The sequence below is a fragment of the Homo sapiens genome, chromosome 22 (assembly GCF_000001405.40).
Source record: "Homo sapiens chromosome 22, GRCh38.p14 Primary Assembly".
Taxonomy (NCBI): domain Eukaryota; kingdom Metazoa; phylum Chordata; class Mammalia; order Primates; family Hominidae; genus Homo; species Homo sapiens.
Window position 1 is genome coordinate 30,237,307 of NC_000022.11, and position 22,749 is coordinate 30,260,055.

General features: G+C 58.1%; 1 protein-coding gene and 2 long non-coding RNA genes across 5 annotated transcripts, besides 11 other annotated features; 2 read left to right on the forward strand and 1 right to left on the reverse strand.

Annotated features, from left to right (window-relative positions):
* Positions 1,888-3,232, forward strand: LIF-AS1 (LIF antisense RNA 1). The gene is made up of 3 exons (NR_149070.1): positions 1,888-1,972; positions 2,385-2,515; positions 2,641-3,232. It is a non-coding gene; the product is annotated as an LIF antisense RNA 1 (long non-coding RNA).
* Positions 3,147-9,453, reverse strand: LIF (LIF interleukin 6 family cytokine). 3 transcript variants are annotated; one of them, NM_002309.5, is made up of 3 exons: positions 9,371-9,453; positions 7,449-7,627; positions 3,147-6,755 (listed from the first exon to the last, which is right to left on the reverse strand). In NM_002309.5, exons 1-3 carry the CDS (start codon positions 9,387-9,389, stop codon positions 6,345-6,347), a joined length of 609 nt encoding a protein of 202 aa, NP_002300.1. In that variant the 5' UTR covers positions 9,390-9,453; the 3' UTR covers positions 3,147-6,344. The 3 variants fall into 3 exon arrangements, with proteins under 3 accessions (NP_002300.1, XP_047297317.1, NP_001244064.1); XM_047441361.1 differs by having other exon boundaries at positions 8,862-9,453; NM_001257135.2 differs by lacking the exon at positions 7,449-7,627.
* Positions 4,330-4,998: an enhancer, noted in NCBI's record as "H3K4me1 hESC enhancer chr22:30637625-30638293 (GRCh37/hg19 assembly coordinates)". NCBI's record gives its function as "activates a minimal SCP1, AML or CMV promoter by ChIP-STARR-seq in naive H9 embryonic stem cells {active_cell/tissue: H9 hESC(naive)}" and the evidence as "EXISTENCE:reporter gene assay evidence [ECO:0000049][PMID:30033119]".
* Positions 7,403-7,903: an enhancer, noted in NCBI's record as "H3K4me1 hESC enhancer chr22:30640698-30641198 (GRCh37/hg19 assembly coordinates)". NCBI's record gives its function as "activates a minimal SCP1, AML or CMV promoter by ChIP-STARR-seq in primed H9 embryonic stem cells {active_cell/tissue: H9 hESC(primed)}" and the evidence as "EXISTENCE:reporter gene assay evidence [ECO:0000049][PMID:30033119]".
* LIF-AS2 (LIF antisense RNA 2) lies at positions 8,904-9,687 on the forward strand. The gene has a single exon (NR_148946.1). It is a non-coding gene; the product is annotated as an LIF antisense RNA 2 (long non-coding RNA).
* Positions 14,868-15,633: an enhancer, noted in NCBI's record as "H3K4me1 hESC enhancer chr22:30648163-30648928 (GRCh37/hg19 assembly coordinates)". NCBI's record gives its function as "activates a minimal SCP1, AML or CMV promoter by ChIP-STARR-seq in primed H9 embryonic stem cells {active_cell/tissue: H9 hESC(primed)}" and the evidence as "EXISTENCE:reporter gene assay evidence [ECO:0000049][PMID:30033119]".
* Positions 15,634-16,398: an enhancer, noted in NCBI's record as "H3K4me1 hESC enhancer chr22:30648929-30649693 (GRCh37/hg19 assembly coordinates)". NCBI's record gives its function as "activates a minimal SCP1, AML or CMV promoter by ChIP-STARR-seq in primed H9 embryonic stem cells {active_cell/tissue: H9 hESC(primed)}" and the evidence as "EXISTENCE:reporter gene assay evidence [ECO:0000049][PMID:30033119]".
* Positions 15,652-15,721: an enhancer, noted in NCBI's record as "active region_18828". NCBI's record gives its function as "activates an Ori minimal core promoter by ATAC-STARR-seq in GM12878 lymphoblastoid cells {active_cell/tissue: GM12878}" and the evidence as "EXISTENCE:reporter gene assay evidence [ECO:0000049][PMID:35858748]".
* Positions 16,403-16,492: a silencer, noted in NCBI's record as "silent region_13602". NCBI's record gives its function as "represses an Ori minimal core promoter by ATAC-STARR-seq in GM12878 lymphoblastoid cells {active_cell/tissue: GM12878}" and the evidence as "EXISTENCE:reporter gene assay evidence [ECO:0000049][PMID:35858748]".
* Positions 16,888-17,389: an enhancer, noted in NCBI's record as "H3K4me1 hESC enhancer chr22:30650183-30650684 (GRCh37/hg19 assembly coordinates)". NCBI's record gives its function as "activates a minimal SCP1, AML or CMV promoter by ChIP-STARR-seq in primed H9 embryonic stem cells {active_cell/tissue: H9 hESC(primed)}" and the evidence as "EXISTENCE:reporter gene assay evidence [ECO:0000049][PMID:30033119]".
* Positions 17,390-17,889: an enhancer, noted in NCBI's record as "H3K4me1 hESC enhancer chr22:30650685-30651184 (GRCh37/hg19 assembly coordinates)". NCBI's record gives its function as "activates a minimal SCP1, AML or CMV promoter by ChIP-STARR-seq in primed H9 embryonic stem cells {active_cell/tissue: H9 hESC(primed)}" and the evidence as "EXISTENCE:reporter gene assay evidence [ECO:0000049][PMID:30033119]".
* Positions 18,609-18,728: a silencer, noted in NCBI's record as "silent region_13603". NCBI's record gives its function as "represses an Ori minimal core promoter by ATAC-STARR-seq in GM12878 lymphoblastoid cells {active_cell/tissue: GM12878}" and the evidence as "EXISTENCE:reporter gene assay evidence [ECO:0000049][PMID:35858748]".
* Positions 19,772-20,374: an enhancer, noted in NCBI's record as "H3K27ac-H3K4me1 hESC enhancer chr22:30653067-30653669 (GRCh37/hg19 assembly coordinates)". NCBI's record gives its function as "activates a minimal SCP1, AML or CMV promoter by ChIP-STARR-seq in naive H9 embryonic stem cells {active_cell/tissue: H9 hESC(naive)}" and the evidence as "EXISTENCE:reporter gene assay evidence [ECO:0000049][PMID:30033119]".
* Positions 20,375-20,976: an enhancer, noted in NCBI's record as "H3K27ac-H3K4me1 hESC enhancer chr22:30653670-30654271 (GRCh37/hg19 assembly coordinates)". NCBI's record gives its function as "activates a minimal SCP1, AML or CMV promoter by ChIP-STARR-seq in naive H9 embryonic stem cells {active_cell/tissue: H9 hESC(naive)}" and the evidence as "EXISTENCE:reporter gene assay evidence [ECO:0000049][PMID:30033119]".

Consider the following 22,749-nt stretch of genomic DNA (forward strand, 5'->3'; position numbering starts at 1 on the left):
TTTTATCAGCATTTTCATTAGGTACCTTCTGCTATAAGCTGCTTTACATGCTGTTTGGAATAAAGAGGATTGTAAATAGGGAAATAAATACATCGTGGTTCCATTATGATGTTAATATTTATTGCTGAAAATGTGATTGTTTAGCAAAATAAATGAATTCCCATTCTGCATTGTCTTTGAATTTCGAACAGAGGTTACCCGGGAGACTCTCTTTCTTCTGCTAGGAACCATTGAGCTCCTGTAGATCTAACGCCTGGTGCATAGAAGGCCTTGCCAGTCTTGACCAGGTGAGTGGATGGTGTTGACCATAAAGATGAGAAAACATCAACAGCATCTCTCACAAGCTGAGTGACGTCAGGGTACCCTCTGCCTCCCTGGGCCTCAGTTTCCTTATGTGAAATAGAAGGAGTAACCCAGCCAAAGCCTCACTGAGTGGTTGGGAGGATCTCGTGATGGGTGAGAAGATGCTTTGTGAACTGCAAGATGTAGGGCCTCGCAGAGCCCATGGGCATATGTATCCTGTGGGTAGCTGTTGGCAGTTGTTCTCTTGGGATCGGGGGAAGGGTGGTGCCATGTCCTGTTGAACTCCTGAGAGCTGGCTGGGCAGGAGGGCTGCCCCGCTGGCTCTACCACACGCCTGGGGTCAGGGGGCCTCTCTCTCCAGGCATCCTCTGGACCTGAGACTCAAGTTACCATGAGGGGATCAGTCAGCTACTAGGACTTTTGTCTGCCAGGCTCGCCCCCTCCCCATCCACCTGGCCCTGGCCTTGAACTCAGGACTGTCAGAATCCTCCCTTCCACATTCACTGGGAGAGAGTGGCCCCTTCCCCTGCAAAGAGGGCACCAGGTGTCTGAGACGCATTCTGCTTGGACCATCTCCACCCTTGGAGGAGCGGGATTCACGAGGCATTTCTATGTCCCTACTTGTAATTCCTTCGGACAACCTTGTGAAGTAGATAAGATGGCATTCATCACTGATGATTCTTGCAATTTTCAAGATAAGACAGCTGAGCTCATGAAAAGGGTCACGGGACTGCATCGGGGAGCGCCAGGCCCAGGATCCTGGCCGGCCGCAGGGGCAGGGCCTTCCCAGCAAAGCAAACACCTCCCTTCTCCCACTTTTTCCCACAAAGTGATTGTTTTTGCCTCTTTTTTGGAGGGTGACCCAATAACCAATTAACAGTCCTTTGTTCTATTTTGCCAGGGCAGGGCCCTCTCCCAGGCTGAGAGAGGCAGGGAGCATCCCTAGGCCCTGGCGTCCCCAGCCAGCCACCCAGGACTTAGCTGTCATTCTCTACCTTTCTGTGCTTTGCCATTTGTTTTGTTTTCCTCTAGTTTCCTAGTAAAGGTTGCTTTTGAAAAGCTTCAACCTTGTCTCCCTGAGCAGAGGGGAGGAGTGTTTCCACTCCTGGGCGGTGGGGGAGGACGTTGTGGGGTGTGGCCCAGGGCCTGAGCCAGCCTCCTGGAGACTGGGCGGGAGACTTCAGGGGAAGACTCAGAAACAGCTGTGGGCCTGCCGGCCTCTCCCTCCCAAGCAGCTGCCTTCCCGGCCCTTGGCCATTTGCACTTGGCGTGGGGGACTCCTGAGGAACGAGAGATGAAAGCGCAGGGTGGCCTTTCTCCGACTTTAATGTGCACACGAGTCTCCTGGGATCTTGCTAATGTGTACGTTCTGATTCTGCAGGTCGGGGGGTGAGGTCAAGATTCGGCACTGCTAATCAGCTTCCAGGTGAGGCCAAGGTCGCGCCATGTTGTTGAATGCAGTCCCTTCATGTTACAGAGAGCAGAGGGGACCACAGCCCGAGCCCCCTGCTGCCTCCCAGAGCGAGGCTCTCCTCATCGTGGACTCACCGCCCTCTGTGTGCCTCGTCCATCACATACATCCTAAGTGTCCCTCCCAGCCTGTGAGCTTCTAGAAGGCATTGCAACCCGGCACAGGAGCTGACACTTACAAATATTCAGGAACAAGCCAGTAGGTGACTCTCAGAAACACTGCCCAGATCCCCGAAATAAATCTCGGCTCGGGGAGCCCCAGACCCAAACCCTAGAGCAAAGAGCAGGGAGACATTCGGGGCCGCTCCAGAGTCTCAGTGTCTGTGGTTTCCCAGTTCTGACCTTGAATCCCCCCAGGAAGGGATTGCAGAAGGCTGGGAAGAAGGTTGCAGTGGAAGGGGATTCGGTTCCCAAATAGGCAGCGGGAGGAGGGACGGAATCAGGGCGGGCAGAGTCCTCCTTGGTTCTGGCCCCAGTGTCCTGTGTGATTCTGAGTAGGACCACCTATCCCCTCCCACTCTGGAGCCATTCGAGTTGTCCTGTTATGTCCCTCTGAATGGTCAACAGGACATTCCTGGGCAACAGAGACCTTGGCAGCTGGTATCTTACAGGTCCTCGAAGTCTCATGTAGGGGAAAGATCATGAGATCTGGAGGTGAAGGAGTGGCCCTAACTGGCCCTAAACACTTCAAGTGCCCCTGGGCACGTGGTTTCATGGCTCTGAGCCTCGATTTCTTCCTCTGGTATGTGGGGATGGCAACTCCTGGAGATCCCATGAGATTAAGTGAGGAGTTGGGAGGGAATGAGCTGAGATATCACACGGCACCCCGTTTACTTCTTTTTTTTTTTTTTTTTTTTTTTGAGACAGGGTCTTCCTCTGTCACCCAGGCTGCAGTGCAGTGGCGCAATCATGGCTCACCGCAGCCTCCACCTCCTGGGATCAAGGGATCCTCCCACCTCAGCACCCCGAGTAGCTGGGACCACAGGCGGACGCCACAGCATCTGGCTGTTTGTATATTTTGTAGACAGGGTTTCACCATGTTGGCCAGGCTGGTCTCGAATTCCTGGGCTCAAATGATCCACCTGCCTCAGCCTCCCAAAGTGCTAGGATTACAGGAGTGACCCACCGTGCCCAGCACCCCCTTTACCTCTGAGCAATCCATCTCTCTCCTTGGGGGCACCCCATGATCTAGACACCACCCACCTTGTTCTGCCTTGGCCAAAATACCACCTAACTGCCCCCACCTATGCCAGGTGCCCCTCACCCACCCTCCTCCACCCTTCGCTGAGTCCCACTTGGCTGGTGCCCAGGACAGGGACAGTCCCAGCCCTTCCAGCCCATCTCCCCACATCAGTACACTCCGGAGAGCCAGCCAAGAGTAGATTCTTTATTCATTTCTCTTTTTTTTCTTAAAAAAAAAAGTATTCATTTGGTATAAAAAATAAATATTTTAAATATGACATTGAATAAATAAAAATAATCTGTCAGTATGAAACATCCCCACAGGGTACATTCATCAAAGAGGAATTTGTCACCCAAGGCCATGTGCTTTTCAGTGGAAAGGAAGGAGGGAAACCTCTAAGGCCGCACGGTGGGCCCACGGAGCTAGCACGTGGGCGGGACTGAAGGCTGGATGCCGGGATTGAGGTGGGGAACTAGAGATGACTCTAAGGCAGGAACATCTGTACCATCTGCAGGGAAATGCTACCTCCCCGGGTGCCAGAGCTCCAACCCCACACACTATGTCTACTCTGGAGAGCCGGCAAGGCAGAGCTGGACTGGCTGGGTCAGGGTGGAAGTGCCCCAAGTCAGGGACAAGGAGGACGATGGGGACGATGGGGAGGAGAGACAAGTAAACTAGCAGTGCTTTTTAAAAAAATGTTTAAATAATAAATAAGGGCCCGGAGACATCTCTCTTGGTAAACTCTCTCTTCCTCCGGCCAGGCCCAGGTGTGGTCCACACCAGCAGATAAAAAGGGAAGAGAAACCCAGCTCCCGGCCTGGCAGAGCTGTTTCACGCAAAGGCTCTGTGATTCAGTGATGCTGTGCAGGGTGGACGCCAAGCTGCCGGACGGGATCTGGAGGGAGCACTGAGGATGGGTCCCATGGGGCCAAGTCCAGGCTGGGTGGGAGAGCGACTCAGAGCCAGGGCCGCAAGGTGGGCCTGGCACAGAGCTCCCAAGTCCACAGGGAGATGAGGTGATGGGCGAGTCAGCCGGGCCCCCCGGGTGGAATCAGCAACTCTGGTTTCCAGACAAGTTTGTCTTTCTCGAAGCCCATCCTGGGGGAATGCAGCCAGCCCCAAGCTAAGCCGGATGAAGCAGGAAGGAGAAGGCAGTCCCTGCATCCTGGACAAGGGTGAGTGTGGCCCACATCTCAACAGCCACATCCTCGTCTTGCTGTTGGGATGGACAGATGGACAACTCCGGGCCGCACCCTCCACCCCAACCCCAGGCCTCAGGACCTGCCTGCACACTGCCCACGCGCCATCCAGGTAAAGTGCTTAGAGAGCGACAGGGAAAGGTGCAAAGTGAGTGAAAAGTACCATAATTAGTACCATCATCTTGTCGGAGGAACTTGGAGGCCGGCAGCCCGCTCAGGGTTTGAGAAGAAGCCAGAACACTGCTCTGAGCAGCTGCCCCAACTCTGCTGCCTCCTTCCCTCCCCTGCTCTCAGACTGGAGGGCGTTTCTCCACTCGCCTGGCCCCAGCACAAAGGAAGAGATCGGGTTCCCTGCCTGGGAGCCCAGACATGGGTGGGAGTGGGATGGGGGTGGAGCAGGAGGGCCCACAGCTTCCTGGTCTGAGTCCCAGGCATCTGCAGCCTCCCTCTCCTCCTCTTGGGAGCAATGGGCAGCTGATCCCCCCAGTCTACCCCACCTTCCTGGGGTCTGGCCCAGCCAGGCCCCCCGCACCGTCTATGGGTGTCCGGGCCACAGGAGGAGCTTCCCTGCTGTGTCGGAGCATGCTGGGTGCAGGGGCAGGGTTGTTCCAGGGCGCTATTTCAGAGGCAGCATGGGGACACAGAAACAAGGACAGGGTGGGCCACAAGGACTGTCTTGCCCACTGCTCCAGGGGGCACAATATCTGCCAGGAACAGTGCGCCTCACAACACAATGCTGGGGCGCCCAAGAACAGTGTGAACCAGCCCCCTGGAATCAAGACAGAAAGGCACCCGGCCTCTCCACAAATTGGCCCAGCCCCTGCAGCCTGGACCCTGACACCCTAAAGCAAGTCACAGTAGGGGATGGGGGGGGGTGGAGCAAGGCCCCCCACTCCCACTCAGGCCTCCCCATTCTCTCAGATCCGACCCTTCTCTGAGCTTCACCCGTAAGGCTTATTCCACTTGTAACATTGTCGACTTCCAGACCAGGCCCTGCTAAGCCCTGGCCCTGGCGCTTGTGTCGGGAGCCATCATCATATTTTGTTGAGTAGGGACCAGGGAAAGGGGAATTAACTTGGCCACTGAAAGCACCAATAAGTTAATATAAATAGGATATCATAATAAATAGAAATCATGCCAGGTCAGACGCACAGCACGCTTGGAGCTCAGGGTTCCCTGAGACCCTGACCCTAAGTTCTGCTGTTCCCTTGCCCTGGGGACCAGAGACGGCCTCCAGTCCCCCTCAAGTACCTCTGTGTGACCTCACAAGGCCTCCCAGGGCCTCAGATGTGAGCTGCTACTCTGAGCTACCCCAGCCCCTTCTTACAGACCTTTACCCAGAGGAAGAGCCTGGGTCCCTCAGAACCTCTGCACCTGACTTAGCAACCTGCCCCTGCCCTACCCACCTCCACAAACCCCTGCTGCAGGTCCAGCCATCAGACCCTGGCCATCCCAGGCTGCAGGGAAGATCACGGGGAAGAGAACGAAGAACCTACCAAAGCTTTCCAGGCCTCTCCTCCTCCCAGTGTCTTCCTTCCCAGGCCTGAAGGTGGCTTCTCTGCCTCCCCAAGAGCCTGAATGCCAAGTGACCTCCTTCTGGAAACTTCTGCCAGATTGTTCCTATGCCCAAGTTCTCTGATCATCCTCAAAAGAAGACAGCCTTCCATCCCAGAGGCCCCTCTCTATCTTCCACTCATCAAACTTCTAGGGGACAAGGAGTCCTTTGGGATCCTAGCCCCTCTGGCCCACCTAAGTCCCAACCTAAGGGGCAGCAAAGGCACAGATGGTGATAATTTGCTGGGGGCTGGTCCACTCCCCTGGGCCCTGCTGTCTCACCCTGTGGTCAGGGCTCTTGTAGATGACTTGTGTAGTTTGTTCACTGCACAAAGTGAGCAAGGGGCCAAAGGGACAAGTAGAGGCAGAAGTCCAGCCCACGCTCCCCAGTCCACAATCTCCCAGAGGAAGGGGCACCTTCTTCTAGCTCCCTCCCTATGGAAGTTTCCACTCTGCTCAGCTTCATCACAGCCCAGCCCAGAGTGGAGTGGACTGGCCAGGCACCCTCGGGGTCTGCCAGCAGCCCCCATTTGGGTTTAGCGATGCCCTGGGCCCCAGCCACCCTTGGACAGGCCCCCACATCTGGACCCAACTCCTGAGATCCCTCGGTTCACAGCACACTTCAAGACCTCCTGCTAGAAGGCCTGGGCCAACACGGCGATGATCTGCTTATACTTCCCCAGGAGTTGACAGCCCAGCTTCTTCTTCTGGAAGACATCCTTACCCGAGGTGTCAGGGCCGTAGGTCACGTCCACATGGCCCACGTGGTACTTGCTGCACAGGCGGCACAGCACGTTGCTAAGGAGGCCTCGCAGGATGTCGGCGGTGGCGTTGAGCTTGCTGTGGAGGCTGAGGGCACTGGGGTTGAGGATCTTCTGGTCCCGGGTGATGTTGCCCAGGGAGGTGCCAAGGTACACGACTATGCGGTACAGCTCCACCAGCTTGGCCTTCTCCGTGCCGTTGGCGTGGAAGGGCGGGAAGTCCGTCACGTTGGGGCCACATAGCTTGTCCAGGTTGTTGGGGAACGGCTCCCCCTGGGCTGTGTACTGAGGGGCAGAAGGGAGGTGACGTGGGAGTCAGGGGTCAGTGTCCCAGCCCTGCCGCCAACCCTTTGGGCAAGCTCTTGCGTCTGTTTCCCCATCTAGCGCATGAGGACCCAACTCCTTGCCCTGTAAGCATCTGGAATTGTCATGAGAGCCAAAACTAATTGTAATGTGAGTGCCCTTGCTAAAGATCAAAGACTGAGCCATGCACGCAGTCATCATTATCATCATCATCATCATCACCACCCTAAGGGGACAGAAGGGAAAACTCGGTGTCTAGCCCTAGCTGGGGCACCACACACAAGTACTTCCATCCCTGCACTCACAATGTTCCGGGACGCCCCTCCATGCCCAGCACCCACAGCCCACTGCCTCTCAACCGCATCTCCCTGGTGCCTCACGCCCATTTCCCCTCCATCCCTCGCTCCCTGCAGCAGGACAATCACAAGATAAGAAGTGCCAGGTCCCCACCTTTGCACTCAGTTCTCCCCTTGCTAACTGGGCACCCTGGGGAAGCTTCCCTGGGGAAGCTTGGGCAGGAAGTGGCGGGAGTCTGGGGGTGGTTTAATCAAGCCCTCTCCCCATTCTCTCCTTCCAGCCCCAAAAGGTCCCCTCAACCCAGATCAGGACAGCCCCTAATGATATTTACAAGCCCCCTCCCTGCCATCTCCTGTCAGTATCCCAGGGGTAACTTACATAGAGAATAAAGAGGGCATTGGCACTGCCATTGAGCTGTGCCAGTTGGCTCCTGATCTGGTTCATGAGGTTGTTGTGACATGGGTGGCGTATGGCACAGGTGGCGTTGACAGGGGTGATGGGGAGGGGGCTCCCCGCCCCATGTTTCCAGTGCAGAACCAACAGCAGGGGCACAACTCCTGGGGACAGTCAGGAAGAAGCCATGAGTAGAAAGGCAGGAAAGGGTGGCCTGGGGTCATGGCACACCGGATGGGGGTCCAACAATGGCCGCATGGGAGAGGACTCCTGGTTCCCCCTCACCACCTGCAGCTGTCTTCCTGGGGCCTAGTCTTCACTCTGTCACTGCGTGTGTTTCTCTGTCTCCCTTTCTCTACCTTAGTTCTCCCTGCTCTCTTCTGGGATGACGTAAAGATGAGGGCAAGACACAAGCCATTTCCACCCAAAGGGTGCAGGGTCCAGGAGAGACTCCCAGCCATCCCACCCTTTCCCTCAGGAAGGCAAAGGTCCTAAGGCCCCCTGGCCCTCTGGCTGGAAGGCACCAGGCCCCAGGCCCAGCAGGCACCAGGAGAAAGGAGACCCCTCTCTTCCCACCTCCCGTGGTGGCCCAGGTTCCTCAGCAGCGCTTCCCACTCACTGGCCCATTGCAGCCCAAATCTCCGAAGCCAGGCACCCATGGGGGCCACGGGGCATGGGGGAGTGGGGAGGAGTCCTCGGTTGACCCTCATCTCCCTCCCAAACCTGCCACTTGATTCTGGCTCCCTGGGCCAATTGCCCCCAATTCTGCCCCCGCCCCCATCATCCTCTATCTCTTCCTTCCCTAGTGTCCCCTATCTCACTCAAGCTCACCCCATTTCTGCCTGGCTGTCCCCACTCTCCATCCCCAAATCATCATTCAAAACTCTCTGTTCCCCCAGCTCCGGACAGCCCCTGACTCCATGCCTTCTCCCGACTCATCCGCTGTCCCTTGTCCCAGGGGTTCCCCTCCCTCCTAACACACACACACCGGCTCAGGGAGGGAGAGGAAATGGTGCACCAGGAGAGAGAAAAGGCAAAAGGTCATAGGCAGTCGGGTGGGCGGGGAGGAAGGAAAGTGAAAGGTGACAGGAGAGCTGGGAGCTGTCCCGACATGTCCTGGTTTGCCCCTCCCCCAGGGGGGCCTGTTCTCCCGACTCCCCCCAGGCCCCCTTAGACGCTTTTCCAGGGCTCTGCAGAAGGGCACCTGAAGATGGTGGGGGCCGGGGTCAGCGGGCGAGTGAGGCTGGAGACCTCCCCCGGATCCCCCATGCTGGAACAGCGGGGACAGGGGCCTCCTCAAGTTCACTTCTCCTGGGTCCCCTGTTCGTCCCAGCATCCCAAGGCAGTGCTGAGGCCCCGGGGTGGCTGCGGGAGGGGGGCCACACCCCTATATCTCACCTAGCGCAGACCACACGCTTCCAGACACCAGCAGATGGAGGCGGCACCTGCTCCCGTCCCAGGCCGGAGTTTGCAAGCTGCTCGCCGCCCGCGCCCCTCCCTGGGAGCAGCCCGGGACCGCGGTTGGAAAGGAGAAAGCGGAAAGAAAGAAAGAAAAGAAAAAGAGAGAGGGAGAGTGAATCTGGGAGAAAGCGCAGAGGGAAGAGCAGCCAGCGAGTGTCCGGAGCGAGGAGGAGGAGGAGGAGAAGGAGAGGGGGAAGAAGAGGAGGAGGAGGAAGGCTCGGCGCCCCCTCCCTCGCCGCCAACCTGCCGCGGGGCGTGCGGTGCTTGGGACCATGTGCCCGCGCTCGCTCCGGGCCGCCACCCAGCGCCTCCGGTGGCTGCGCGGGCGCCCCAAGTGTTCGTGTGTCTGCGGCGGGTGGGCGTCCGGCTCGCGCTGCCAAGCGCCCCAAGTTGCCGCCGCGCCCCGCAGCGGGGACGCGAAGCCGGCGCGGGGCGGGTGTATTTACCTGCCGCCAAGACCTTCATTATGGGCTGCACTTCAGAGGGCCTTGGAGGAAACCTCAGATGCCGGCAGTTTTCAGAGGTTCATGCTCAAATGGGGAATTTGCCTGATTTATATACTGGAGCCTGTGTTGTAAGACAGAAACAGCTATATTTAGCCGGGATCCCCAGTCCAGGAAGTTGTTTGAGGTGCATCATAGGAAATTATGAATGGAAGAAAGTGAGAGTGAAGGGGGGGGACGAGTGAGGGGGGAGGGTGGGGAGAACAGACTTTTTCCCTCTTCTAAGAATTTGATTGATAAAATTATAATGAAGCCTTCGACAAAACGCCCTGTGGTTTTCCTGCCTGGCTTGTCCCGGGAGTTGTCTGAAGATGGGCATCGCCAGGAGGGGGCCCCTGGCCGAGTCAGCAGGGGTCCCAGCAGTGGGCGCCCCAGACGGCCCTGACTCACCTGGGTTTGGGGAGGTAGCGAGTCTGGACTAGCAGATGGAGACTGGCCCCTGTGCCCCCTGGTTGGGGGGCTTTAGGGGGGCAGTGGGAGGAGGAGGGCTAGGGCTTGGCTGAGAAGGAGGCTCCAGGAGGAGGGGCCGGGGCCGGCGTGGACTTTAGACGGTCATAAAGTGGAACTGAACATGGGCGCTGGAAGCCACCCCAGAGGTAGCCTCCTCCAATCTGCACATTGCCACTGGGCCCCAAGGGGCTCCGAGGGGAACACGTTGCCCAGGGCCCCAGAGGGTCAGGCCTCCAGACACCACCAGTGCACTCGCCCTGCTGACCACTGTACCTGTGAGGCTGGGGAAGGGGCTAGGAAGACATGGGGGTAGGGGTGACTGACTCAGTTCTGTCGGGACACTCTGGGAAGGTGCTTCTGGGAAGGCGGTCCAGCATTTCCATTCTGAAGCAGGACTGAGAGAGGCTTGGCGAAATCGTACCCCAGTTTCCTCCTCCGGGTGCTGATTGATGGTTGGGGAAACTGAGAAGTGGCTGGTCCCTTCCAGACCTGCCTTGGAAGCCCCTTTGAGCCCAGCCTCAGAGAATGATGGAGGTCCCCAAAAAGTGCTTCTAGAGGCTCTAAGGCAGTGTCACATGTTCTGGCGTCTTCTGAGGCCAGGCGATTTGTGAATGAGGAAGGGCAGAAAGGAGCAGTGGGGAGCCGGGCAAAATGAGCACAGGGACACCTCCAAGAAATGCAACAGAAAAGTGAAAATAAATACACCCTATGAGATGCGGGAATGCCGGCCAGACAGCATGGCCACGCGTCTGGGGCCATGCCGTCCCTAAAGCTGCCAGGGGACCCCCAGTACCAGGAGATGATTTAGTCCCCTGTGGCCCCTTCCCAGCCCTTCCGCCTGACCCTGACCTGAGATCAAGGTGTGTGAGTTGGTTTTCCAAGGCCAGGGAGCTCTTGCAGCCTCGCCCGGGCCCCCACCGCCCCCTCGCCCATCCTCCATGCCCCCAGTTCCTGCCTCTTGCCACATCCCAGACCTGCCCAGCCACGGGTTCCTCCTTCATCGTGCCAGGACGAGCCCTGGTGCCTGCTGCCGTTCCCCACCACACACACACCCTGCTTTATCTACGCTCTTGCCCCCCATTCTCTCCCAGCAGGGCCTCGGATGTGAGGTGATAAAACTGCCCATCCCAGCTGGCACTTCCCGAACTGGCTCTCCTTCCTCCTTCCTGCCTCTCACCCCACACCTTGTCTCTTCTTTGAGGGACCATGGAGGGCCCCACTTGGCACTTACTGCTCCTATACACTTGCTCTGGGGTCAGCGTACACTACTAGGAGACTCACCTGCCCTGGCCTGGCTCAGGTAACCCCACATCCCAGGACACCCCAGCTCAACCCTTCTTCTTACACCTCCCCCAGCATCTCCTGCACAAGGACCTGACCACTCAGAGCACGTGAGCTCTGGACCAGTCCCCAGTCCCATCCCACATCACCCAGACCCCTGCCACCTGACTCAGCCTGGCTCTCCTGACATGGACCCCAAATCCATGTGACCAGGGGCTCACTGTGGCCTCCACCCATCAAACCCCCGTCGCCCGGCCTGAGTCTCTCATTAGGCTCAAGAGTTCTGCAGCTGCCCCTACATCTACCATTCTGCCCAGTCTCCCCTGCATCCTTCCAAGCGGACCCCCAGGCCCTTGCATGCCTTCTGGCAAGCCAGACCCCACATCAGCCCTATAATCCACCCCCAATCGCTGTTTAATCTCAGCCCCACCCCACAGGAAACAGGAAGTGAGGACAGGGTCTAGAAGACACTGACACTAAGGCCCCTTAACCCCAGCCCTGACTGGCCCCTCCAGTGCCTCAGTTTCCCCTCCTCTCACGGTACCTGACTTGGTTTGTGCTCCCCAAGTGCTCTGGGCCCCTCGGCGCCCCAGGCCCAGCCTCCCCCTCCTGTCCATGTCCAGGCACCACCTGCTCTGGGCCTCTGGAGGGAAGGCTGGGCAGGGTCTCGGAGCCGCAAGTCCGTGTGCCGCCTGCAACGTGGCTGCGGCCCCCAGGAATCAGCCGCCCAGGCTACGCTCCAGGCCCACTTTGGTCTCTGGGAGTTTGTTTTCTTCCCTCCCTCTCTATGCTGTGTGTGTGTGTTCCCCGCCCCCGGCCGGCTCCCTCATGGAAGGCACCCTCCCTTCTTGGCTGCCGGCTCCCAGGGTCACGACCCCAGGCCCCACCCTGGAGTGGCAGCCCCGGCTTGGCCCCTTCCAGCTGTGACTTCATCCACAGCCTGTCCTGCTCCTGCAGATGGGGCCTGCTGGGGATTTGACCGGTCTCAGGGTGAGCGGGACAGTCCCGGCCACATGGGACCCCCTGACATTGAGCAGAGGTTACTAGGCCAGAACCCAGGAGTGCTGTCTCCAGGTGGCTGTGCCATCCAACCCATCACTGCTCTCCAGGAAGGGAGTGCACCCTCTAGCACGTGCAGCTACCCAGCTGCTCGTCTTCTGCTGATTGTTACCCCCCATCCACAAGTCTCTCCTGGGATATCACAGCTGCTTATTTTCCAGATGGGGAAATTGAGGCTCAGAGAGGTGAAGATAACTATGTGGGGCTCACATAAAGAGTTAATAACAGAGCCAGGTCTGGAACCGGGGCTTCTGTCTTGCAGGCCACAACAATCCCTGCAGCACCTCTTGCTCTGAGAGGGCGAAGGGCATGGCAGGAGTGCTCGGGTCGCCTTCCTCCAGGAAGCCTCCCCTGCCTCCCATGGCCCCGACCAGCTCACATCGGCCATGTCCTGCCTGCTCGTGTTTCAAGTGGGGATGAGTCTTATTCCTCAACCTTTGAGAGTTTGAATGGGGTCTGAGACTCACTTGTGCTCTAGACAGCACCTGGCTCAGGGCTATACTCTGACATGAATAGAGGTTAAGTATTTTTTGAGAAAGCATTTTATAGTTTCCAAAAACTGTCAGTGCCAACTCTCTTGTGGAAAGGAGATGGAGAGGCCTGAAGGTTTGAAGAATGGACTCTGGCCTCATTCACAACCAGGTTGGAGGTTTGGCTCTGCCAGTTATGAGCTGAGTGACTTTGGGGAAGGGACTACCACCTCCTGGCCTCAGTTTCTTCAACTATAAAATGGGAATAATGGTACCGCCTTTGTGGGTCTGCTGTGAGGGCTCAGGGCTCAGCATGGTTCTGGGCACCCAGCAAGCCACCTGTCTGCATATCATCACCCATTGTGCTGACCTCCCTGTGAAGCAGGGGTTCATTTGACAGATGGGGAAACTTGGGTCCATGCCAGGGTGCTGAGCGGGGAAGGCTGGGCAGGAGCAAGACCTCTCAAGCCTCTGCTGATGGTAAATTGAGGCAAGATACCCACGTAGCCTCCAGCTTCAAGGGTGCCCCAGATAAATCAGACAGGTTGTGGGAGGGGGCTGGCAGGGCAGTGTGCTCACTCCCCCAGAGCCCCCTTCCTGGCCCCTCACCACCCCCACCCCAAGCCTGATCTGAGGACAGCAGCTGACCTGGCCTTACCGCCCCCAGAAGCTGATTCACCCCCAGGCCCCATGTGAGAAGGAAGGAGACAAACTCAGCTCTGAGGGGCTTGAATCACCAGCCGCCCCCTGCAAAGCCCCGGGGTTGGGGGGGGGATGCGGGGGTGGGGGCCAGCCCCCTGCCTGTCTGTCTCTTTCCTGGACCCTGGGGCTCTCAGGAGAGAGGGCAGCATGTCAGTGGCATGGGCAGGGGTGAGATGGGAGGTCCCTTCACAGTCAGGCATTCTGTGTGGGCAGCCAGCAGCAGTTACTCACCAGGTAAGCAGCTCTCCGGGCATTGGGGAATTCCCCAAGACCAGCGACCCAGAAACAGCGCTCCGGGCACCCCCGGCTGCCCAGGCTGGCCTCCCTCCTTCCTTCCCCATCCCCTCTGGCCCTGGTACCTGGAAAATGAGCAGAGCCCTCAGGTGGGCCTAGGAAGGAAGCGGGGGGCCAGAGGGTGGGTCCCAGGCTCAGGGCTGGTGAGGAGTGGCCAGAGGAGATGGTGAAGCTCAGGAATGCCGGGCACAGCCCAGCCAATTGGGCATCCTGGCCAAAAAGGCAAGAGCACCGCACTCTTCAATGCTTGAGGAGTGAGAGTGTGATGCCACCAGCGGACCGTGCCTCCACTGTTCTCACCCCAGTGGTGTGGGTTCAAATCCCTCCTGCCCCAACAACCAGCTATGTGGCCCGGGACAACGGGCTTCCTTTCTCATACCCTCGGTTTCCCCTCTGCAAATGAGGATGCTGTCATAACAGCCTCGTGGGGCCATCATGGGGATGTTTCTTGGGAAATGCGGATAAACGTCTAACACATGGCAGCCCTTCTAATAAGATCTGGTTGTGGCCGCAGAAGGAGCTCAAACTCCAGACCGAGTCAGGGGCTTGGGTTAGGGCTGGGTCCCATGGTCAGCACACTGGAGTCCGAGAGTCAGGGCAGGAGGTGGCTCCTGGGTCCGCTTAGTTCATGGAGCCTGGTGTGGGTTTTGGGAGAGTGGGTAGCATCTCAGAACCTTGTGGGGGGACATAAGCAGTACTTCCCCCATCTCTGGGCCCTGGAGAGCCCAGCTGTCTTCTGGGGGCTCTTGAGGTCCAGACGCTGGACCTATCTCCTGCCCCTTCTCACCCTTACCGGATCCAGTCTCTGGCAGCGACCAGCAGTATCCCCTCAGGGCCAAGGAGAAGCCAGAAGCCACCCTGGACTTCTGCCAACTGCTCCCATCATCACCCGACATTTCCCGACCGACTGTGTCAGGAATCAACCCCCTGGAGATGAATCAGAGTGACTGCATTTTTTTTCTTCATTTCTGATAGAAATTGCAAGGGAAGCAGCAGCCCCTGATCATTGGCAGGGCCAGCCAGAGGCCTGGCCGTGGCGTTGCGTGGGGCCGGTCCCCCCCAGGGCTCTGTAGAATGGGTTGCTGTCTACCCCAGCCATCAGCATTTAGTGAGCATGGCCTTTGAGACTCTGCAAGCACTTTTACCTCCCCCAGGCTCTCCCTGAATCTCGAACTAGCCTGAGACCACTGCAGGCAGATATAGAGAGAGCAGTGTTTTCACACTGCAGGCCTCTGCCTCTTCGTGGGTCATGAATTCAATTAGAGGGTTGCCACCAACACTTTCAAAAAGGAATAGCGAAATCACCTGGCATCGCCCAGAGCCAGGGCGAGGATTGCTCCATGAAACTTTTTTTCCGGTTGTCTGTATGTCAGTATCTGCATCCTCATCTGGTTGCAAGGTGCAATGTATTTCTTACTGTGGGTGGCAGTCAAAAACATTTGCAAGCCACTGGTATCGATGTTGAAAGCAGGCCCAGAGGGGCTGAGGAGTGACTTGCCCAAGGTCACTCAGCAGTGTCTCACGGGGCTCCTGACTTCCCTTCCAGCTCAGGAATGGGCCAGAGGTGCCGCAGGGTAGGGCGGGGTGGGGCTGAGCAGGTGCTCAACGTGGGGAACCTGGCGGCACCCTGTGCCATGCCGTGACAAAGGCCTTCCAGAGCCCAACCTCTCACTGTCCACTCCCTTCCGCAGCCTCGGACCCCTGGGCTCTCTGCCCTGCCCCGTCCCACCTGGGTGGAGCCCAGGACAGTCACAGGCCTTTCTTTCGTACTCCACCAGGGAGTCTTTCATCCTCACCACAGGGTGCGGGAAGAGGAAGTGGCCACAGCCACCTTCCCAGGGCAGCCTGAGGCCAAGAGCCACAGCCTGCAGTAGAGGGTGCACACTTGGGCTCCCTGTGGCCCTGGGACATGGCTGAGTCTCTTTGTCTGAGTCTGAGTGGGCATTTGCCTGAGCATGTGTGTGTAGTGAGTGCCTCTGTGTCTGTGCATGCCTGTGTCTGGTCCCGTGTGTGCATGTGTGGTGTATGCATGTGTGTGCATGTGTGTGGATCTGCTTGTACTGTTTGCTTTGTGTGACAGCGAGCTAGACGGTGCACATCTCTGGCTGCTATTGTGAGTTCTCCGTGTGGTTGTGTGAGTCTGTGTGTGTGCGCACGCGTGCGCGTGTGCCCATGGGCATGAAGCCAGTGCGACTGTGTGTCTGGCCTTGTGTCTGCATGAGTTTGTGTAGGACTGTGGATCCCTGGGCACGACGGCTCGGAGAGGGGGGAGGCCTAACCCTGGGCGTGCACGCATGCGTTTCTGAGCCTCCAGGCCTGCGTGTGCCCCGGCGTGTGTCTCCAACAATCCCTGCTCCTCACCCTCCAGCCCCCGCCCCTGGGAACCATGTGGCAGCCTCACGTCACAGGGGCCACCAGCAGCTGGCTTCCTCCCTACCCCGCCCCAGCCCCCCGCTCCACAACGCCCTGGCCACCCTGACTCTTGGCACAGGGACAAAGCTGATGTCAGAGGCGAGCTGACAGCTTTCTTCTCCCACTGGATTTTCCAAAAGAGAGAGACCACAGCGGCCCCTATTAAATAATCATGGGGCTGGGGGGTAAAGGAGGGACGTGTCACTCAATGATTTCCTGGACTCAGAGGCCATAAACAGAACAGGAAGCAGCCCGAGGACCTATTCAGCCTGAAACTGGCCGTGCAGAGGTGTGGGCCTGGCCTCCTCTCCTTCCCCTCCCCCAGCCAAGCTCACTGGGGCCACCCTGACCCGACCCAGCACCCAGGGGAGCCTGAGGATTGTTCTGAGGATTGTGGGTGGGAGGGTGATGGGAGCCTCCGGTCTGGCGACAGTGATGACATGGAAAGAATAAAGTGGTCCCATCCCACTGGGTGGGGAGGATGGAGGGGTGAGACCTGGCTGAGGTTGGACTATCCTCTTCCCTGGGAAGAGAAGGAAGAGTGAGCTTCCTGGGGTGAGGGGAGGGATGGGGCCGGGTGGGGGAGCCGCTGGTGGAACCTGGGATTGGAGGGGCCAGGCTTCCCTCTGTGTCTTGCAACGGGGTCGTAATACCTGTCCCCCACCAGTCCTGCACCCTTGGGTCCCCCTAGACCTCCAGGACCCTCCCAGCCCGGAGTAGTGCCCTTCTTGGGGCACAGGCCCCCAAGGCTTTCATAAGCCTCTCTCCCACCCCCTCCCCACAAAACCAAGCATTACCAAGTGCTCACCAGAACCCGCTATGGGCTCAAACCCTAACCCGCATTCTCTGAGGGAGGCATTTTAAACTTCATTTGACAGACTCGGAAACTGAGGCTCACAGAGTGGAATGATTTGTCCCAGGTCACACAGTGTGTAATGGAGCCAGGTCTCCACCCCAGCCCCCTACCCCCAGCCTCCCTAAAACAGGACCCGGGAGGCCCAGGTGTGGTCTGAGCAGCCAGGCCCAGGGGGGGTCCCCACAGAGTCACTCCCCAGGCAGCCCCTCCTGCCTGGACCAGGCCGCCCAGTGGCTGATAAGCCACAGGACTGCATGACACAATCCCGCTCTGATCTTCTGCCCAGCCGAGCCTCTGCCCCCACCCCACCCCTGGACCCTGTTTCCATCTCCTCCCTTTCTGGGTGGGACCAACGCCCCGGCCTGGTGTCATTCATGGTGGGCTGTCCAGAGAGCCAGCTTCTCTGTGAACCTCTCAGCTGTTGAGGTCTCCCCAAAGTCCACCCTAGCCAGAGGGCTGGCAGCAGGAGACCCCTGCAGAGGGAGGACAGTGGCCTGTGCCACCCCCACCTGCCGGGTGGGGGTGGGGGACTTAGGGCCCATCTTGGCCCCTGCTGGCCTCAGCATCCCCACTTGGTAAAGGAAAAGCTCGGAGAAGAGATGAGGCTGCGCCGTGGAGGGGAGGAGGCTAAGTGGGCTCTGGAATCAGCCAGACCCCAGGTCCAGGCCCACCTTGGCCACTTACGAACTGTGCAGCCTCGGGCAGGTGGCCTCATCGCTCAGGCCTCAGTTCCAACGTCCACAAAATGGGGTAACAGTGTTGTCAACCTGTGAGGTCAGCAATGTCCTCTGCAAAGGCTGGCCAGCATGGAAAACATGGCTTGGTTATTGATATTGCTATTGTTTGAGACAGGGTCTCATTCTGTTGCCCAGGCTGGAGTGCAGTAGTGCCACCATAGCTCACTGCAGCCTCAATCACCCCCGCTCAAGCAATCCTCCTGCCTCAGCCTCCCAAAGTGCTGGGATTACAGGCATGAGCCACTGCACCAGGCTGTGTTATTGATATTATCTTAGCTGTGGGGCCCAGAGAGGGGAAGTCGCTTTTCCAAGGCCACACAGCAAATTAGTGGCACATTCCCAGTAGTATGTGGACTAGTGGCCTCTCTTGAACTCCCAGACAGAGAGCTAGGAACCCTGGGTTTCAGTCCTGATTTGCTTGTGAGAATTCCAGAAGGAAGCTTCTCAGAGTCTCAGTTTCCCTTTCTAGATAAGTCCATGAGTCCCAAAGTGTCTAGAAAAGGTTCTTTGGGGCCGGGCACGGTGGCTCACGCCTGTAATCCCAGCACTTTGGGAAGCCGAGGTGGGCAGATCACCTGAGGTTGGGAGTTCGAGACCAGCCTGACCAACATGGAGAAACCCCATCTCTACTAAAAATACAAAATTAGCTGGGCATGGTGGTACATGCCTGTAATCTCAGCTACTCGGGAGGCTGAGGCAGGAGAATCGCTTGAACCCAGGAGGTGGAGGTTGCGGTGAGCTGAGATCACACCATTGCACTCCGTCTCAAAAAAAAAAAAAAAAAAAGAGGGAAAAAAAAGAAAGAAAGAAAAGAGAAAAAGAAAAGGTTATCTGAAGAGTGGCTTGTGGGGAGCAGTGGTGGGGGATAGAGAGAGAGACCCAGGTCCCCAGGAAAGCTGGGCCCAGGGCTAGGGGAGAGTCCAGGTCCAGGGCTCCCAGACCAGCATATGAAAGACACCCAATCACCTAGCCCGGCTCCAAACCACGGGCTGCAGCGCCCCCCACTGCCCAGCGGGCAGCAGGCCCTGCGGCCACGGCCCCGCCAGCCCCAGGCCAGCCTGCAGCCGGGGCCTCCCCTAGAGCTAGGCGGGATGGCATTTGGGGATTTGAGGAAGTGAGCCGGGATGCCTGAGACTCAGAATGGAGAGTGGGCAGATACAGGCCAAGGCTGGAGAAGGGGGCACCACTGAGGGGGTCTTGGAGGAGCCTATGCCATGTCCAGCACCTCCTGGGGAAGCCCTGAGGACCGGCCACAAGGGGGTGCCAGGACCACGTGCCTCTGCCTGGCGGAGCCTCTGGGAGGAGGAAGAGGAGGAAGGGGGAGAAGAATTTCTCTCCTGGCCCTGCTGCCGCGTCCCACTTCCCTCAGACTTCCAGGACGTCCTCTCTCCCCAGCCCCCATTTACAGGTCCTCATGACAATTCTTCCAAATGGGAATTACAATCACCGTTTTACAGAGGAGACAATTAAGACCCACAGAGGTAAAGTAAACCAAGTAAACCAGGGACACGTGGGGCAGAGCCCAGGTCCCCACCCTGCCCCAGCGTGCCAGGGAACCCCAGCATCCAGACCCAGGACTGGCCCACCCCGGAGACAGTTTCCCTATCCCCTCGGAAGCCTCTCCCCAGGTCTCGGGAGTTGCTGATAGCAAGATTGGGGTCGAGCCCCTTTCCCTCTCATGCCAGGCTCTGTGCAAGGATTTTACCTATATTTTTCCTTTCTCGCCACAGTGATCCCATAATTAGATCCATTTTACACAGTGAGTGAGGCACAGTGCAGTCAAGTCCTGCACTGGCCCAAGGCCAAAAGCACAGGGGCCTTGAACTTGACTGACCACACACGCTGGAGCCTCCTATACAGGAACCACCTCTCCATCAGAAGGAAACCGAGGTCTTCATGGGCTGGGTCCCCTGTACTGCTCTGGGGAAAAGAGAACTTGAGGGTCCCTTGGGAATCCAGGACTCAAAACTCCCAGATGACTGACCCCTCCAGGGTCCCAAACAGCCAGGATTCAAATCCAGGCCTCCTTCCAGCCACCATGTCCAGAGCTCTCTCCTCTGCCCTTTAACCCTTTGATGCTCTTTAAACCCTCACATGTCCACATGACACTTTCGCATCCGTTCTCTCCTGCTTAGCCTCAACATCCTCAGAGAGATGTTCGGGGCTTATCTCACCATGTCCATTGCATAGAAGGGGAAACTGAGGCCTGGAGCGTGTGTGGGCCACCAGATCTCCCCCTGACCCACAAGGGAGTGAGTGATATTTGCTTTGGTGGAGGATAAATTTGGAGGCTGGCCTCTACCCCCGGCCCTGCCCCTGGGAGAAGCCTACCGTGGTCTGTGCCTGCACACGCCGCTCCGGATCTGGAAGGTTTGCCAGGTCTTCAGTGGGACACCATCGTCTTCCGGGCCAGGCCCCCTCTGCTTCCCTCTCCTGCTGGATCTTCTCTGGAGTCGGCTCCTCACCCCGCCCCCAACTTGACTTCCCGTCCAGAGCTGGGTGGCCCTGACGCTACCCCCACTTCCACCCCCCACCTCCAGTTGAAGGGCTGGGGGCAGTAGGTGCAGAGGGCCCTGGGTTCCCACCCAGTCTGTGCCTGACACAGGTTGGGGCAGGGTCTTGGGAGCCAAGGGGAGAAGCAGGGCCGGGGTGTGGGGAGGGGGCGTCCTTGTGCCCGATGCCCCTGCCCAGTGCTGCGTGGCGAGGCCGCTGGGGCCTGAGTCACAGCTGACGGGGCCGCGCCCCGCCTGCCTGAGTGACCCAGGCCGGCATAAGGCGATGACTGGGCAGCCCTCCGCATGACCGCAGGGGTCGGCCTTAGGTGTTTTGACTCAGACCTGCCACAGGCCGTGTGCAGCACATCCAGCCTCCCCTTGTCCCTGTCCCCAGAAGAGTCACAGGGCTGCAGCTCCCCCCACGAGACATTGGGCCCCCTCCCAGGCCACCACTCCCTGCCCCAGCAGCCACCTCCAAACCTGGGGCGCCACCTGGCCCATCTGATCCACCCCTGCCACAAACTCCAGGGCCCCGCCTGCCCAACCCCCTCCCTCAGAGACCTTCGCCCCTCCCCGAGCCCAGCCCTCAGACGTCCTGAGACGTAGGGAGCCGGGCCGGCCTTGGGAGGGCCTCCCCACTCCAAAGGAGCATGGACTGTGACCCTTCCTCGGCACTGAAAAAGGGCTTTTGTGGGCACCCCATGTCCCAGCCCCTGGTGGAGGGTGGGAGGCAGGCAGGGCAGGTGACAGGACAGGGACAAAGAGAAAAGTGCCGAGAAGAAAGAAAACCACTAAGGAGGGAAAGAGGAAATAAGAGAGAGAGCCTCAGCCACACTGGGTCAGGGACGGCCCTGCCAATAACGTCGTGTCTGTGCCATCTCCCAGGGAATCTTTGTCACAGCTGGGAGGTGGGCCAAGTTGGCCCCATTGTACAGAGGGGAAACTGAGGCTCAGCCCGGGCAGAGTACCCAGCTAGGGGGCTGAGGTCTAACTCATTTTGTGTAACTCTAAAGTATTTTAAACTCATCCCTGGGAAGAAAAAAAATCACATGAAAACCTGCAGCAAAGAGTCTAAGGCCACAGAGGCCCGGGTTCGCATCCTGGCTCTGCTGTTTCTACGCTGAGTTTGTTCTGTAGATTAACAAAATGTGCCAGGACCCCTCCCCGCCTTTTCCTGTAGTTTTGCTGTCCTAGGGAACTTTTAACCCATGTGTGTGACATGCAGCATTGACTGAGAGTCCCGGACCGCCGCCCTGAAAAACTTAAAAAAGAAAAAGAGAACCCAGCTTCGAGTAGATTCAGCGGCTGGACTGCACCAGGATCTCTTTATCTTCCTTAGCCTGGTGCCAGCGGACGGCTGCTCGTGACGCCTTTGTCCCTTATGTGAGTCAGTGCCGGGAGCACACACTTCTTTGCAGGCGCTGAAGGCCCCGTCCCTCCAGGGAAAGTGTGCCTAGCAGAGCGTCAGCTCTCGCACACTGTGGCAACAAAGCGGTTGCTCAGAGGGCCCCATCCTGCTGCCTCTCATGGTGGATGGTCGTGGGGACCCATCACACAGCAGTCCGTGCTGTGGAGTCGGCAGGATGATTTGACAAGGCCCCGTTCTGCCTCTGTCTGATGGAAACTCCAAGTGGGAGCTTGCCCCACAAGCCCCTCTGGGTGGGGCAATCACAGAGGTGGGGGCATCTGTGCTTGGCCTCAAGGGCAGGAGGATGTAAGAAATAGGGAGGGGGGCCAGGAACAGAGGCCGATGCCTGTAATTCCAGCACTTTGGGAGACCGAGGTGGGAGGGTTGCTTGAGGCCAGGAGTTCGAGACCTGCCTGGGCAAAATAGCAAGATCCCATCTCTACAAAAATTAAAAATTTAGCCAGGCACGGTGGTGGCCTGTAGTCCCAGCTACCCAGGAGGCTTAGGTGGGAGGATTGTTTGAGCCCGGGAGGTCGAGGCTGCAGTGAGCCACAATCGTGCCACTGTCCTGCAGCCTGGGCGAGACAGTGAGACCCTGTTTCTCCAAAGGGGGAAAAAAAAAGAAGAGCTGAGGGGGAATAGGGAGCCCAGGCTGCATGCAGGGGTGGGAGCAGCTGAGTGGATAGAATGCAGAGATGACTGGCAACATGGGCCGTGCCTGAGAGCTGGGGGCCTCTGATGCTGCAGCCAGGAGTTAGGAATGGATGCTCTGTGCACTAGGATAAGAGGGAGTTCCGGAAGGTTTGCAAGCAGGAGAAGATAGGACAATAGTGATACTTTTAGGCTGTGTCCAGGGATCCAGACCCTGGAAGGCGATGGGGAGAGGAGTCGCCTGCAAGAGACGGGTATGGGAGAGACCACAGGACCGAGTGATGGAGGGGAGAGGAGGGGCCGAGGGAGATAAAGGCAATGGGCTGGGATTCTGGAACTTTAGTAGGGGCAAATGAGAAGCAGAAAGCAAGTGCAGGGTTTGGGGGCAGAACGGTGAGTTTGGCTTCAAGGCACCCACTAAGTCAGGAGACTATCCTGGTAGCTGGGTCTGTAGGATCTGGCCTTGGGAGGGATCAGACTGCAGGTGGTAGTTTGGGGTTACCTGCA

Excerpts from the sequence above, each read along its gene's own strand:
- LIF (XM_047441361.1), bottom strand. The coding sequence starts at position 9,198 with ATGGTCCCAAGCACCGCACGCCCCGCGGCAGGTTGGCGGCGAGGGAGG. Across the intron at positions 7,628-8,861 it reads AAGCGTGTGGTCTGCGCTAG|GAGTTGTGCCCCTGCTGTTG; the intron begins GTGAGATATAGG and ends GACTGTCCCCAG. Across the intron at positions 6,756-7,448 it reads ATGCCCTCTTTATTCTCTAT|TACACAGCCCAGGGGGAGCC; the intron begins GTAAGTTACCCC and ends TCTGCCCCTCAG.